This window comes from Homo sapiens, chromosome 3 (genome assembly GCF_000001405.40).
Source record: "Homo sapiens chromosome 3, GRCh38.p14 Primary Assembly".
Classification (NCBI taxonomy): Eukaryota; Metazoa; Chordata; class Mammalia; order Primates; family Hominidae; genus Homo; species Homo sapiens.
In genome coordinates this window covers 192,158,656-192,173,871 of record NC_000003.12, presented here as the reverse complement: position 1 = coordinate 192,173,871, position 15,216 = coordinate 192,158,656, and the positions used below count along the sequence as shown (strand labels likewise).

The window sequence follows — 15,216 nt, the reverse complement described above, 5'->3', positions numbered from 1 at the left end:
TATCTTCAAATTTACATGTTTCTGTGATGTACATTCATAAGGAAGAAGGTTTTATCACCATCTACATATATGACGATATGTACTTACACAAAACAGGAATTATTTTTTTCCTAACTTCTTTATAAAGTCTGAAATCTTATACATTGAATGTATTGCTTGAACTTTCCAGAGTTCCTTAGCATAGCATCTAGGGTTAATACTGTTTGCTAGTATTGGACTAGATCGAGAAAAAAAAATAATAAAAAGCTTTGGGATTATTTTAATTAGTTTGTTTTTAAAAGAAAATGAATTAAAATTCAGACCTAAATCTAAGCATTTTAAAAATACTTTATTAGTCCTAGGAAAAAAACAGAACTTAATATTATCATCTATATTGAATCTGAGTTACTTTTATCCATATACTTGGCAATGACTAAACTCTGTCCTGGCAATATTGAGACAAGGCCTTCGAAGAGCCAGTTTTCCTTCACATGGGTTATCATATAGCCCTGTGCTGCCAGGCAAGGAATGTGCAATAGTTTCATTCCTTCCCTCACTTTCTTTAATCACCTGGTTTATCTGATTTTTTTTCATTGAGATATCAATTGAATGCCACGTAATTTACATTTTAAAAATGTATGCATGCTTTAGTGGTTTTTGGTACATTCAGAAAGTTTTGCAAACATCACCGGTATCTAATCCCAGAACATTTCATCCCTCCAACAAAACAGTCACTCCACCCTTATCCCTCTCACCTCCTTCCCCAACCCTTGATAATCACTACAGTACTTACTATCTCCGGATTTGCTTATTCTGGACATTTCATATAAATGGAATCATACATGTGGCCTTTTATATCTGGCTCCTTGCACTTAACATAATGTGTATGAGGTTCATCCTTGTTGCCACATAAATCAGTATTTCATTCTTTTTTATAATTGAATGGTATTACAGTTGCATTCTGTAGAACTATCACACTGTATTTATCCATTCATCACTTGATAGATGTTTGGGTTGTTTCCACATTATGAATGATGTCACTATGAACATTTGTGCACAAGTTTTTGTGTGGACATATGTTTTCATTAATCTTAGAACTATACCTAAAAGTGGAATTTTTGGATTGTGTGGCAACTGTATGTTTAACCTTTTGAGGCACTGCCAACCTATTTTCCACAGCTTCTGCATAATTTTACATTTCCACCAGCAATGTATGTGAGTTGCAGTTTTTCCACATCCTCATAAACACTTTGTCATGTCCATTTTTAAACTATAGCCTTTATAGTGGATGTGAAGTAGTATCTCATGGTCATTTGTTTCTTTGATTCTTAAGCTAGTAGTTCATTTACTTAAAACTCAAAGTACTCTAAGAAATCATATTTCAGTATTAATATAAACATAATATTAATTTATTGCTATTCATATTATCTTACTATCTACAACCACCTTTCTACTCCAATTTTCTTTGGGGGGTGTTTTCTTGGACTTTTTTTTGAAGGGGGGGTTGAGATCCATTTCACTGTGTCACCCAAGCTGGAGTGTGGGGTGTAATCTCTGCTCACTGCAACATCCACCTCCCTGGTTCAAGTCATCCTCCCACCTCAGCCTCCCGAGTAGCTGGAAATACAGGCATCTGCCACCACACCCAGCTAATTTTTGCATTTTTAGTAGAGACGGGGTTTCACCATGTTGGCCAGGCTGGTCTTGAACTCCTGACCTCAAATGATCTGCTTACCTCAACCTCCCGAAGTGCTGGCATTACAGAGGTAAGCTACCACACCCCAGCCTACTCCAGTTTTCTTAGTCTCATTTTTCTTCGTCTATAATGTTGGAACTATTCAAAAACAAGCTGGGTGCAGTGGTACACACCTGTAGTTCCAGCTACTTGGGAGGCTGATGTGGGAGGATCTTCTGGGCCCGGGAGTTTGAGGCCAGCCTATGCAACATAGCAAGACCCCACCTCTTACAAAAAGAAAAAGAAAAAAAAGGAGAGAGGGAGAGAAAGAGAGAGAGAGAGCACTCTCTACAAATAAGGAGATTGGCATGGGAGTATCACCTACAAGGACATGGCTTCAACCAACCTATATTCATTAATATTCCTATATTCATTAATAACTTAATTCCAGGTTTGCTTGCATTAAATCATGGGAGTCTCACACTGAAATTCTTCCAGTTCATGGAGAGGAAGATGGTGACTGTGGTGAATATGTCTGACATGTAGGACTCCTGTTTAATTGCAGCTGAAGAAGATGCAATAGCATTTGTTTTTCTTCTGCTGATCTCAGAAGGGGAGAAATTTCTTCCTTCCACACAATACATTTTGTTCATGTGACATGTTAGGATATGATTTTATTGTATTGATTTTTAAATCTCATTATAAGTCACTAAACAAGACTCAGGCAGAAAAGGTGAGCCTGAGAGACTGTGATTGTGAAGCAATGAATGTGAGCTCTGGCATTGACTCAGTAGTTTCTTAAATGTGTATTTGAATTAATCACGTGACCTTTTGGTTTTCTCACTTACCAAATGCTGGAGTTGAAGTACAGGATCTTACAGTTTCTTCTGAGACTAGAACTCTCATTCTGTGTTTCACTGAGGTCAATAGTAATAGGAATTAATACTATTAGTAATTTTCTTCAATATAATAGTAATTTTTTTCTATTATTCCTGGGCTTTTTACCTGAGATTTTGATTACTAAGGAAAAAAATGTTTTAAGGAAATTAGAGAGGAAGTTACTGACTTTAGGAAAAGTGGTGATTTTCCTGACCAAGCTGTGGCTGTGTAATACATTTGTATATACAGAATAGTCTCTTCAAAAGCACCTTGTGTGCCTGTGTTTGCTGTGGTTATATTTGATTTTGATTTCCAGGATAAATTTTAGTTCCTTATTTACATGTTAAGGGTGAGTAAATGAGGAATGGCCAATCACTTTAGTTTACAAAACATATTGCTAGGATCGGAGCGCAGACTTGGCCACAGTCCTGAATGATTTTAACGTAGCTTCAAGCCTGAGCAAGTTATTATCTCTGGGCTGAAGGTTGGCTAGAAAGGCAATCATGTTTTTTGATTTTGTATGATGAATCTTTGTAACCAAAGGCTAATAGAAACTATGTGTCATTGCCTTTCATTTGTTCTTAACAGAGGACATGGATTTCAAGCTTATTGGATTTAAGCATTTGCTGATTCACCTTTAAATCATTTCTCTTTTTTGTGTCTTTTTTTTTTTTTCCTACAGGATGTTTTCACTCCAGAATGCAAATTCAAGGAATCTGTGTTTGAAAACTACTATGTGATCTATTCTTCCACACTGTACCGCCAGCAAGAATCAGGCCGAGCTTGGTTTCTGGGACTCAATAAAGAAGGTCAAATTATGAAGGGGAACAGAGTGAAGAAAACCAAGCCCTCATCACATTTTGTACCGAAACCTATTGAAGGTATGAAACCAACTGACTGTCTTTGTTGGACCCTTATCTGTGTGTTGACATCAATTCTGCTTCTTGCCCTTTTGGTCCAGAGAGTTTGCCTGGAATGCAACAGATCAGAAGAAAGATTCAAAAGAAATATTCAGAGAACACAATAGTATCTCTTCCTTTTTTTTTTTTTTTTTCTTTTGAGGCAGAGTCTTGCTCTGTCGCCCACACTAGAATGCAATGGCTCAGTCTCGGCTCACTGCAACCTCCTCCCGGATTCGAGCAATTCTCCTGCCTCAGCCTCCGTAGTAGCTGGGAATCTTTTCCTATTAAAAAAAAAAAAAAGGAAAATTCTATTACAAATACTTGGCACTTAAAAAAAATGCCTGAATATAGAAGCCGGAAAAATTTTGAAAGTAGAAAAGAAGTGGTAGTTACTATCTAGTATGCAGTTTCCTCCTTTTCTAAACCTAATAATTTCCTTTCTCAAGATACACCCTTGAAAAACAAATGATACTTTTATATTTACCGTATTGCACTGTATCCTTCTCAGGTGAGCCTATAACCTTTTCTCTCGTAATCATTTAATTCTCTGTTCATTTATTTCAAACTGACCATTAGAATAAACTTTTTTGTTTTTTTTTTTCTGAGGAAACCGATTTTTGGCAGCTAGGCTATGTTCCCTCAGAAATTCCTTAGCTAGGATGAGAGCATATCATTTGGGTAACCACATTTCCTGAATTCAGCCAAGCTTTCTACTACAGGCTGAGTAAGCTTGTTTCTCCTCTGAAAGTCACATTATAATCACTTTAAACATTGGCTCAGCATCCTCGTCTGAGGAAATGAGAAAATTGAGGCAGTGCATTGCAACTCTGTGGCTTAGTCAAGCTTGCTGTCCCCTGAATATCTCATATGGCATGGTCAGTCAATCAGTGTACACAATGCCTGGTGCATAGTACATAGCACGGTGACTGCAAACATTTAAGTCAATACTATCTTCCAATGTTCCAAGCACTGGATGAAATGTGATATTCAAAGCCCCTAGCCCCTCTCAGGACCCTCTTCACATGCTGTGTATTCAGCACATGAAATGAACTTTTCTTTCCTGCAGTATATTTTCACTTTATTTATTTATTTATTTGAGATGGAGTCTTGCTCTGTCACCCAGGCTGGAGTGCGGTGGTGCAATCTCGGCTCACTGCAGCCTCTGCCCCCTGGGTTCCAGCGATTCTCCTTCTTCAGCCTCCTGGGTAGCTGGGATTACAGGCACACACCACCACACCCGGCTAATTTTTGTATTTTTAGTAGAGACAGGATTTCGCCATGTTGGCCAGGCTGGTCTCAAACTCCTGACCTCAGGTTATCTGCCCACCTCGGCCTCCCAAAGTGCTGGGATTACAAGCGTGAGCCACCATGCCTGGCCTATTTTCATTCTTATTGGGCTCATTTTGTTCATCACCCCTGCTCCTTTAGTTTTTATCCATTTATCTCATCTGCCTGGAAAATGTCTATTAGTCTTTGGAAAAAAATAATTCAAGAGTCAATACTTCCATGATGGCCTTCTTGACTTTCTTCAAGTAGAACTAAACATTCGGTCAGCTTGTCATTGCATACATTTCTCTCCCATAGAAATTATGACATTAAATTTGCCCAATGCCACTCTGTCTCCTCTTATTCATGGTTAGCTCACTCTTTGAATGAACAGAACATGTTTTATTTTTCTTCATATCTCCCTTTGTCTTCTATAATAGTTGGCATATCATAGAGAGATATTTGATAATCAGTTGTCTGAAAAGTGAACATGTGAATGAATTAATGAATAGAAAACTATAAAGACAAAGAAGAATATATGCGCCAGAGAACTTTATGATATTCTTAGAGGTGTGACATATGTTTACTCAGAGCAAAAGTAAAATGTTAAGTGATGCAATATATAGGATTTATATTGGGACTCAGAGAAAAAGGCTATTATTTTCCCAAAAAGTAAGATATCATTGAGAAGCTAATATTTAAACTTACCTTCAGGGCTAGGCCAGGTTCCTGCAATTTGAGATGAGAGGTAGGGATTAGGCAGACAAAAACATTCCAGGTGCAGTGTGAATAAAGGCAGGAAAGTGCCTGCTTCTTAGGGTTAAGCAAAGGGTACCTGAGAAGTAAGTAATATTTTCACAGGGAAATATATGGATTCTCAAAAATGAAATGTTTGATGAATTATGCTCTTAATTATTGCATCATTTTTATTTGTTCATTTACATTGATTTTCTTCTTGTTATAAAAGTAGTACAAGGTCATTAACAATTTTGGAAAATTTAGGAAAGTATGAAGAAAAGAAATCCACGTGTTGTGTTTATTCCCTTTACGGATAATGCCCTTTATATTCAACTTCACCCTCATGACCCCACTTAAAAATACACCTAGGCCAGGCTTGGTGGCTCACGCCTGTAATCCCAGGACTTTGGGAGACCGAGGTGGGCGGATCACGAGGTCAGGAGTTTGAGATCAGCCTGACCAACATGGTGAAACCCCGTCTCTACTAAAAATACAAAAATTAACCGGGCGTGGTGGCACGTGCCGGTAATCCCAGCTACTCAGGAGACTGAGGCAGGAGAATCAAGGAGGTGGAGATTGCAGTGAGCTGAGATCACGCCACTGCACTCCAGCCTGGGTGATAAAGCAAGATTCTTTCTCAAAAAAAAAAAAAAAAAAAAATTTTATATATATATATATATATATATATATATATATATATACCTATAACCTACCCTCCTAATTTTAGCTGCTATCTGTACTTTGGTTAATCAAGTTTCCTCTTGGGTCTGGATGAGCATGTACGTGTACAACTGGACATTCCTATATGGATTAGAATTAAGGTTGTCTTCACACAACACAAACTCATATTAACAGCAGCTTAATCATATAAAGTTTTTTATTCTCTCACAAAACAAATCTAGAGACCAGCTATCCTAGCTGGTACTGTGCTTTTCCAATTGGTAGGGCCTTGGCTGCATCCAGCTTTTACTACCTCTCTCCCAGTGTTTTGCTACGGCTTATTTACAACTGTGCACTGCACCCGGAACACAACCACACATGCTGGCCCTGGATCTGCCCTTCTGCCCATGATCCAACCAGCATCTTATTCCAGCCAGAGGGCAGAGGAGAGGTGAAGAAGACAGAAGGAAAAGCCAGGGCCAGTTTTCTTTCCAAGTTGTCCATGGTAACTGCCATATGCTACTTATCGCACTGGCCACAACCTAGTCAGGTAGTCACACTTAGGTGTAAAGAAGCTAAGAATGTAGTCTTTTTTTTTTTTTTTTTTTTGATAGCCATATACCAAATAAATGTTCTGTGACTAGGGGTTATGGCACAATGGGTATTGAGACACTAAAAACTCTGCTTCAGGCTTCCATCCTCTTAATTTTAGAATATCTCTGATTTCCTAATTTTCTGATTGACATCTTTTGGTAGATTATCGTGTTTTTACTTTATGTTATTGACTGATCCTTTAGAATGATTTTCTTTTTGTTCTGGGAAAAAAAATGCATTCTAAATCAGATTCACTAATACTTTGATTCACTTCCAAGGATTTTTGTCTCTCTAGGTGTGAAGCATATAGAATATGATGATAATTACTTCCAAAAATGAAAAAAAAAACTTAATTGGTTTTAGGCCAAACACCTTCTCATTCCCTATAAATGTCTTTATCTTTTGTCTTAGGGAACTAACTTTATTGAACAATCTTAGCTAACAGTTTTATAAATGCTTACTCTGTGCAGGTGCTATTCTAAGCACGTCTCAATTACTGTCTCTTACTTTCCATTCCATTTGTACGAAGTAGGTTCCAGTATTATCCGCATTTACAAATGTGAAAAATGAAACACAGAGATATTGAGTAATTTGTCCTAAATCATGCAGCTAGCAATTGGCAAAGCCAGAAATGAAACCAAAGCATTCTGACTTGAACAATCAAGTTCTTAAACCCCATTTAAAACTGGTAAGACAGGCTACAGTCTGAGGTCTGAGAAAGATGTAGATGTAACTTCAATATAGTGGGACCTAGTAAATGATCTTGAATAAATGTCTCCTAATTGCTTCTCTTTTTAAAAATCTGCAATATATCCCTACCCCTTAGAAATAAAAGTTCTTGCAGATTAATGGAGATCATCACACTCTTGTAACTGACATGAAACACATGAAATTGGTTGGTTCTCTTCTGCCTCCTATGTGCTTTGATGTCCTTATAATACAGAAAATGTGAACAATTACCTTATGATTCTCCATGCAGTTATACATTATATCCTTAAATGATTTTAACAGGTTACCATTACTATCAAAGATATGTACACTTGAGGTTGTGTCAGGCATTAATCCACTGGACATTGAAACCTTTCTCCTCGCTGCTGGGATACTCAAATTATTTTTGCTGCCACCATTACTGCTATTACTAGTCTTACTACTTCTGTATGCAGTTTATCAATTTACTATTTGCTAGCCAGGTTGCGTATGTTATCTCTGTTAAGCCTCACAATAGTTCTGTATTTTTATCCTCATTTTATAGATGAGGAAACGTAATTTAAAGTAACTAAGTAACCAGTCCAAGACCACAGGGCTAGATAAATACAGAACTGGGGTTGCAGTCCAGGAACCCTGATGTCACGTAACCTCTGTACTATGTTGCCCTTCAATCTGAAGTAAGCCTGTGAATATGCAAATACTCAGAAAAGTCAGTGATAGCAAAGCAGAAACCTTATACTATGATGCAATTTGAATAGTAAACTAGTTTTAAATCATGCAAAATTGAGACAGGAATACATGATATGATGAGAAACACATTGGTAAACAATCAGATAAAACAGTTAATGGAATGCCATGTTCAAGCTAGGCAAGAAAGAATTAACAATGCATCACTTCTTTTCTGGTGAATTCTAACAAGGTTTATTTCCACTCAGCAAAAAAAAAAAAAAAAATTGGACCAGATGATTTCTAAAGTTCTTTGGCAATGACATTGTGTGGCAGTCGTTATAAGCCCTTCACTGTAAAACCATGTTCCTTCATAGAACCTAGCCTAGAATTTACATGTAAAACTGGTCTAAACATATTTTCTTTATTGAATTATTGAAAAAATAAATTACAGCTTTATGAGCTATTTCCATTATTTGTGATTTTTTTTTTTAATGAAGGGATAGGATGAAAGGCATCCTAGCCATAACTTACATTTAAATAGATTTTAGGACAGACGCAGTGGCTCATACCTGTATTCCCAGCAATTTGGGAAGTCGAGGCAGGTGAATCACTTGAGGCCAGGAGTTCAAGACCAGCCTGGCCGACATGATGAAACGTCATCACTACTAAAAAATATGAAAATTAGCCAGGTGTGGTGGTACACACCTGTAATCCCCGCTACTTGGGAGGCTGAGGCAGGAGAATCACTTTCAACCCAGGGAGTCGGAGTTTGCCAGGAGCTGAGATTGCACCACTACACTCCAGCCTGGTCAACAGAGAAAGATTCTGTCCCAAAAATAAGTGAATAAATAAATAAATAAAGTTTTCGATAATATTTTTCCATAGGGCAGGTATAAAGCACATAACTAGATGACACTTTTAGAAAACGATTAGAAAATGATAGCATAAGAGATTAGCTAACTTGCTGCTAATGGGTTAACCAAAAAAATTATTGACTATTTTGTTTGTAATGTTTAAAGGCATCTTTGTAACCCTGTAAGTCCAATGGTAATACTGTTAACATCCTAACAGAGTCCAGCACTGCACGGTAAATGAGCCCTTCCTTTGTGAAGGGAATTGTCCTCTTAGGGAGGAAAAGCCAAAGTAGGGTTTTTTTTGGCTTTGGGTTTTGCTTTTGTTCTTTTGTTTTTTCCTGCTTATTTGTTTTTCACATATGTCTGCCTTTATCCCAGTCCTGCTGGTGTTGTCTTTTGAATGTCACGATTCCCAAAATTAAGCTCTGCCAGTTTGAGGATGGTTAAGTCCTACACTGATAACATGATAATAATTACCCACCAGCCCATTTCCCTTCACTCTTTCACGTCTCATCCTGTGTTTAGAGAACAGGAGCGTTGATGAGGGGTTTCAGGGTCACCTATTCTGATAGATGGCCTTGATGTTTAAGCACATTACTATGTACATTGCATATAAACCTCTACTTACATGGGTCCCCTCCCCTGGAATTTTGGACAATAGCACAGGCTTCCTGATTCTCAATTCTGCCCTTTCAGAGTATTGTTCAAAGCACAGATAAGTAACTTCCCCAGATGTAAAGTGTTTTAGTGGTGACCTCCCCCTTTAGCATCAGATATAGCAGTCAAATACTCTTTGACAAAGAACAAAATATAGTCTCCTCCTTTTCTCCTCCCTCCTCCTTCAAGAAGCACATTGCTCAGCTACTGCAGGTGGCTGAGTATTTAGGATCTGGTTCTTCCCTTCTGAAAAAAAAAGTCTGTGTACTTTGCAAAGATTTAAGCTTCAAGAGCTGAGACCTGGAGAAATAAATATATTTCCAAATAAGATAACTAAGAATCATTTGAGAGCCATCCATACAGAAGTATTAAACTTGGAATAAAGGAATATTGATTTATTTCTCCCAATTTATTTGGTAGTGGGGAGACAGTACTAACACACACACACACACACACACACACTCACACACACTTGGCCATATACATGGTTTCCATTTTCTTTGTTAGAATTGGTGCTTTAAGCTCATAGAATCTGATTTAAGACTCAGCAGAATGTAAACTGTCATTTCCCAAACATCAGTACCAGAACCATCTGTAGTGTTCCTAGAAGCTAACAGATTCTCAGAGCAAATCTCCAAAGTGATCTGATGTTTGAAACCTATGTATGACCTAGGACTCTATAGGTTTAAAACGCTGTCCAGGGGATTTCTGATGGCATTGAGTTTGAGATGCAGTGTTCTGAATTTGGTGTTTCTAAGCTCCTTTTGGTCAAATCTGGCCATGGATGATTTAAATTTATTCATATTATTGTGATCAATATATTGGACTGAATCTAATGTAATATAAATTGTCCCTCTGACATGAAATTAAGTATACTATATATGTTACATTTTTACATTCCCTACTACTATCAAGACAGGTATGTTTTAGTCCAGGGTTAAATTCCTATATGAAGTCAGTAGAGGTAATGCCAATTATTTTATTAAATTGACACCTCTTAGAGCAACCTAATAGAAATCAAGTAACCAAGAATACAGAAGTGTCTAATTCTTTGGGTCAAAATTTGGCAATGATTTGCTAAGCAATTTTTGTTTGAATGAAAGCAAGTGTATTGGAGAAGTCAAGAAACAGAAGAATGGCTACTCCATAGGCAGAGCAGCCTTGCTAAGTAATTTTGAGAAAATAATTTATCTCCTTCTACCTCAGTCATCTCTGAAGATAAAGTCTATTATAAATTCCACCTGCTTCAAAGGAATAATATGAAAATTAGACATTGTAAAAAAAAGTTGGATTTTTCAAGAGAATTCTGTCAGATCAAACATGAAATGCCTTTTTCATTTTGTCTTAGAAAATGGACATTGTCTTACTGTGTTTTGTATTGGAAAAATGCTGTGAGATGTGGCATTGCATGAGAAATTAAAGGCAATGAAAATGGAATCTGGAAGGAAAATAACAATCCCTTCAAAACTACATAATAAGACACCAAAGAACAGAGCAAATCAGGAGTCCTGATGTTTTAAAACTCCAACTGGTGGACACTAATGCCAAATTTGATATTTTTATTTCAATAAACTGGAAATAGAAATAAATGCCTTGGTTCTCTTTTGGACCCAACCATACTGAAAGACAAAAGCAGAAAGATGGAGCAAAAAAGAACCTCTCTGCCAGTAATTGTTTTAATTACAGAAAGGATAATAGCTGCAACTCTTTCTTTTGTGTTTTGGGTTTCTGCCAGCCTGTGATACTTTCCTCCTGCAAACCATTGTAACTTATTCAAACCAGTTTTTTCTGGTTTCTGAATGTAGTCTTTAATACAACCCTCTTACCTCTTCCCCACACATTCTTCCTCTTTCTCTCTCTTTGTCCCTCATTGCAAATATTGCTTTTTCTTTCTTTCTAAACGAACATACAGACGCTTTTGTTCACAACGTTATAGTTGTTATCTCATTATAGTAAATATGTATAGCACAGTGAATGCATTTCTAAGGCAATACATTTCTTCCAAACTAGCACTTAGAATTCTCCCAGAGTTCCAAAAGGATCCCATGTAACATTAATTCAGGTGTGAAATTGCTTTAGGTAAATTTCCCACACCCTTCTATGATCTGCTATTAAGACAATTAAGTATCTTCAATGGTGCATTAACTAACACAGCAGTCTAACCTTTCAGCTTCTTGGAAATTACAGAGGACCAAGGAAAATTCAATTAAATTTGTAGTAATAAAATGATTAATCATATTTCATTTGTCTTTGATGGTAACTAGTAGTCGATGGAGGTTCTTTATAGAGTTTAATGTTTTAGTTTTATTAAAAACAGAAGTTAAATTGTTTTTATTTGGAAAACAGAATTTGTCAGAACAACTCCAGTGTTCCCACACACAGGTTGTTCAACTCTCCACTACAGAGTGACATTGACACTTAAAAATTACTGCTAGCACTCTCAAATTTCAAAGGATCTGTCAAGAATACAGCAACAATATAAAGTGATAATTAGTAGCAGCTATACTACCTTATATTCCATTTGAATGGCATATTGTCCTTTCAACATGCTTTCTGAACCAAAGTATCATTTAATAGCCACTAAATCCTTGGAAGTATGAAGGTTAAGATTTACTATCCCTATTTTAAACACGAGAAAGATGTCATTTCTAGAGGTTAACTCACTTAGGTGTATACAGCTAGAAAGAAGCAAAACTAGAATTGTTACCTGGTAACTTCAGATGTCATGCTTTTCCTACTACAAATGTGATGTGATGTGTGTGTGTGTGTGTGTGTGTGTGTGTGTAAATAGGCGTTGTCATTCCTTAAAGTTATTCAATTTAGTTACTTAATCAGTTGTGTGTGTGTGTGTATTTGTGTGTAACTTCTTATGAATTAGAATCTGCAGAGGCAAGACATAGATACAAATGTGTATTCTTAGAACATCCGGGTATTTCTCATGGAAGAATTAAGGACAGCAACTCTACAAGTTGAGTGTGCATCAGAATTACCTAGAGAGCCCACTAAAGCATAGATTGCTAGGCCCCATCTCCTGAATTTTTAATTCTGTACGTTTGAGCTGGCCAAATAATTTGCATTTCTTAACGTTCCTGCTGTTGGTGGTGGTGGTTAGGGGTCATGCCTTGACAATCACTAAGTTTAGGGAACTGTCTGATGCAATGATCCTTAGAATCTCTTTCCTTTCTAGACTCTATAATGCACCATATATACAAGGAAAGGTAAGGGTGGTCGTCAGCTTTCTTGGTTTATTTTCTGTTTCATTGATTTTTCTTATTTCTGTGAAGATGAGGCTTATTATTTGATTATTCAAATATCACTTAACTAAAGGAGCTTGATAAATATTGTCTACCGTATAGTATTCCTTGCTCCATTTGTGTCAAAGTCATCTATTTTACCTTTATATTGGTCAGTTTCAGGGAACTCAGCCCAAGTTTAGGACCTTAGATAAAGTAAAGATTCACTGACTTTAAAGGTGAAAGAAAAATCAGCTTTACTCCAACCAAAGACTTCTTCAGTTAGTCACTGTAGCATAGTAGATAGGAATATTCATTTGGAACATAACTATGAAACATCTACTAAGCGTCTTTCACTGTACTAATGGGGACACAGTTAGTACTCAAGGAAAGACAATTTTGACTTGATAGCATTTATGTCTAGAAATGGGTAAAAAATACGCAATTAAAAATAAGCAAGCATTTTAAAACATCACTAGAGATTAGTTCCAAGAAAAAAATATGGGACTATTTTAAAAAGGATGATGAAGGTAAATTTTTTAGAGAAGATGACGTAAATGATGTTTGAACAGTAATCTGAATGAAATTTAGTAGTAAACCATGCAAAGATGTGGCACAAGGTTTTTGCAGGCAAAGCTGAGAGATTCCAAAGGCTTTTATAGACTCCGAGGATGCCTAATAATGAGCAAGAAAGCCAATGTGACTAGAATGGATTGATTAAAGGAATGGAAGGTAGGAGATGAACTTAGAGAGAAAGGAAAGACTATAAATTGAGGGCTTGTAACCACCTTCAGGACTTTAGATTTTATGGTTAATGTGATGGGGATTCATTATAGATTTTGAGCAGAATTGCAGTGAAATCATCCAGGATCTTAAGCAAGATAGTATTAGATTGGACTCTAGGGTTTTATAACTAGAGGTAGAGAGAATGACTTTGAATTTATTTTGAAGGTAGACCTGATAGAGCATGCTAATGGATTGGATGTAGGTTGTTAGATAAAGACAGAAATCAGGGATGACTTTTAGGTGTTAGGCATGATGAACTGGGCGAATAATGGGTCTGTGTGCTGAAATGTGTACACACACACACACACACACACACACACACACACACTACTTAAATATGACATTTTAAAATCACTTGTAATCCCCTAGTACTGGTTATTACAACTCAGACACTACTGACATTTTGGGACTTTGGGTTCTATAATTCCTTGTTGTGGGGCACTTCCCTGTGCATTGGAGGATATGTAGCAACATCTATAGCCTCTATGTTCAGGATACCAATAGCAAATCATCCTCTCTAGTGGTGACAAACAAACATGTCTCAGACATTACGAAAGATTCACTGAAGGCAAATTCACCACCGCTTGACAACCACTGCCCTAGGTTCTATGACTACTTTTCAAATGGGGAGACTATCTTGTTTGGAAAAATTATTCTATTGTGTGGAACTTTCTCACATTATAGAATATTAGTAATACCACCTTGACCTCCATCACTATAGTTGTGACAAGAAATGGGGAGAATACTTCCCTAGTTTCTTCACACTGCTAAGAAAATGAATGTAATTGCTGACTTACTCCTGGGGAACACTAACATTTATTGGAAAAGGAGGCTCCTGCAAAGGAGAATAAAATAGAGTAGCCAGTGATTTGCAGAAAGACTAGGCTATTTTGATTGATGTTCAAGAAGCCAAGTGAAAACATCTTGTCAAAAAGGAGGAAATAATTAACTGTATCCAACACTGCTGGAGTGTCTAGCAAGCTGCTAAATGAGAATTGATCTTTGCTTTTGTAACTCGTGGTCAGTAGTGACTTGACATGAGTGATTTTGGTGAAACAGTGAGAAATAAGTCTGAATGGAAAGAATTAAATGATAACTGGAGGCAAAGAAAAGAAGAAGGTAATATTGAATATTAAAGTTCTTTTGAGAACTGCTGCTATAAAAAGGAAGTAGAGAAATGAGGAGGGAGCTGGTGAGAAACATGACAGTTACATGGTAGGGTTCTTTGTTTTTAAAGCTATTTCATACATTCATATACTGATGGGAACAATCTGGGATAAGCAGACATTGGGATCACAGGAGAGAGGGACACCAAAGAACACTGAGTAGAAGGGCTGGGACTGAGTGCACCATGGCGCTCTAGATTTAGGTAAGAACTGCACAGTGCAAGCATTGTAACAAGCAGGAGTCAGAACACGTGGGGGCAGATGTCCATAGGTTGGTAATTTTTGCCATGAAAACATTTCTCATCTAATTCTCCTTTCTAAGTGAAATGCAAAGTCAGACAGTTTATTGTCTTGGAAAATAAAGAGGAAGAATAAGAAGGAGAGAGGGAGAAGGAAGGAAGGAGGGAAGGAAGGAGAAAGAGAGAGAGAGAGGGAGGGAGGGAAGGAAGG

At 37.1% G+C, this 15,216-nt stretch overlaps 1 protein-coding gene across 7 annotated transcripts in view; it reads left to right on the top strand.

Moving 5' to 3' along the window:
* FGF12 (fibroblast growth factor 12) overlaps nucleotides 1–15,216 on the top strand; it is a 588,152-nt gene that overhangs the window by 553,670 nt on the left and 19,266 nt on the right. For all 7 annotated transcript variants that reach the window (NM_001377293.1, NM_001377292.1, NM_004113.6 and 4 more), the window contains one exon: nucleotides 3,216–3,414. In NM_001377293.1, coding sequence (NP_001364222.1) covers nucleotides 3,216–3,414 — 199 coding nt within the window. The remainder of the gene's footprint in view (nucleotides 1–3,215; nucleotides 3,415–15,216) is intronic.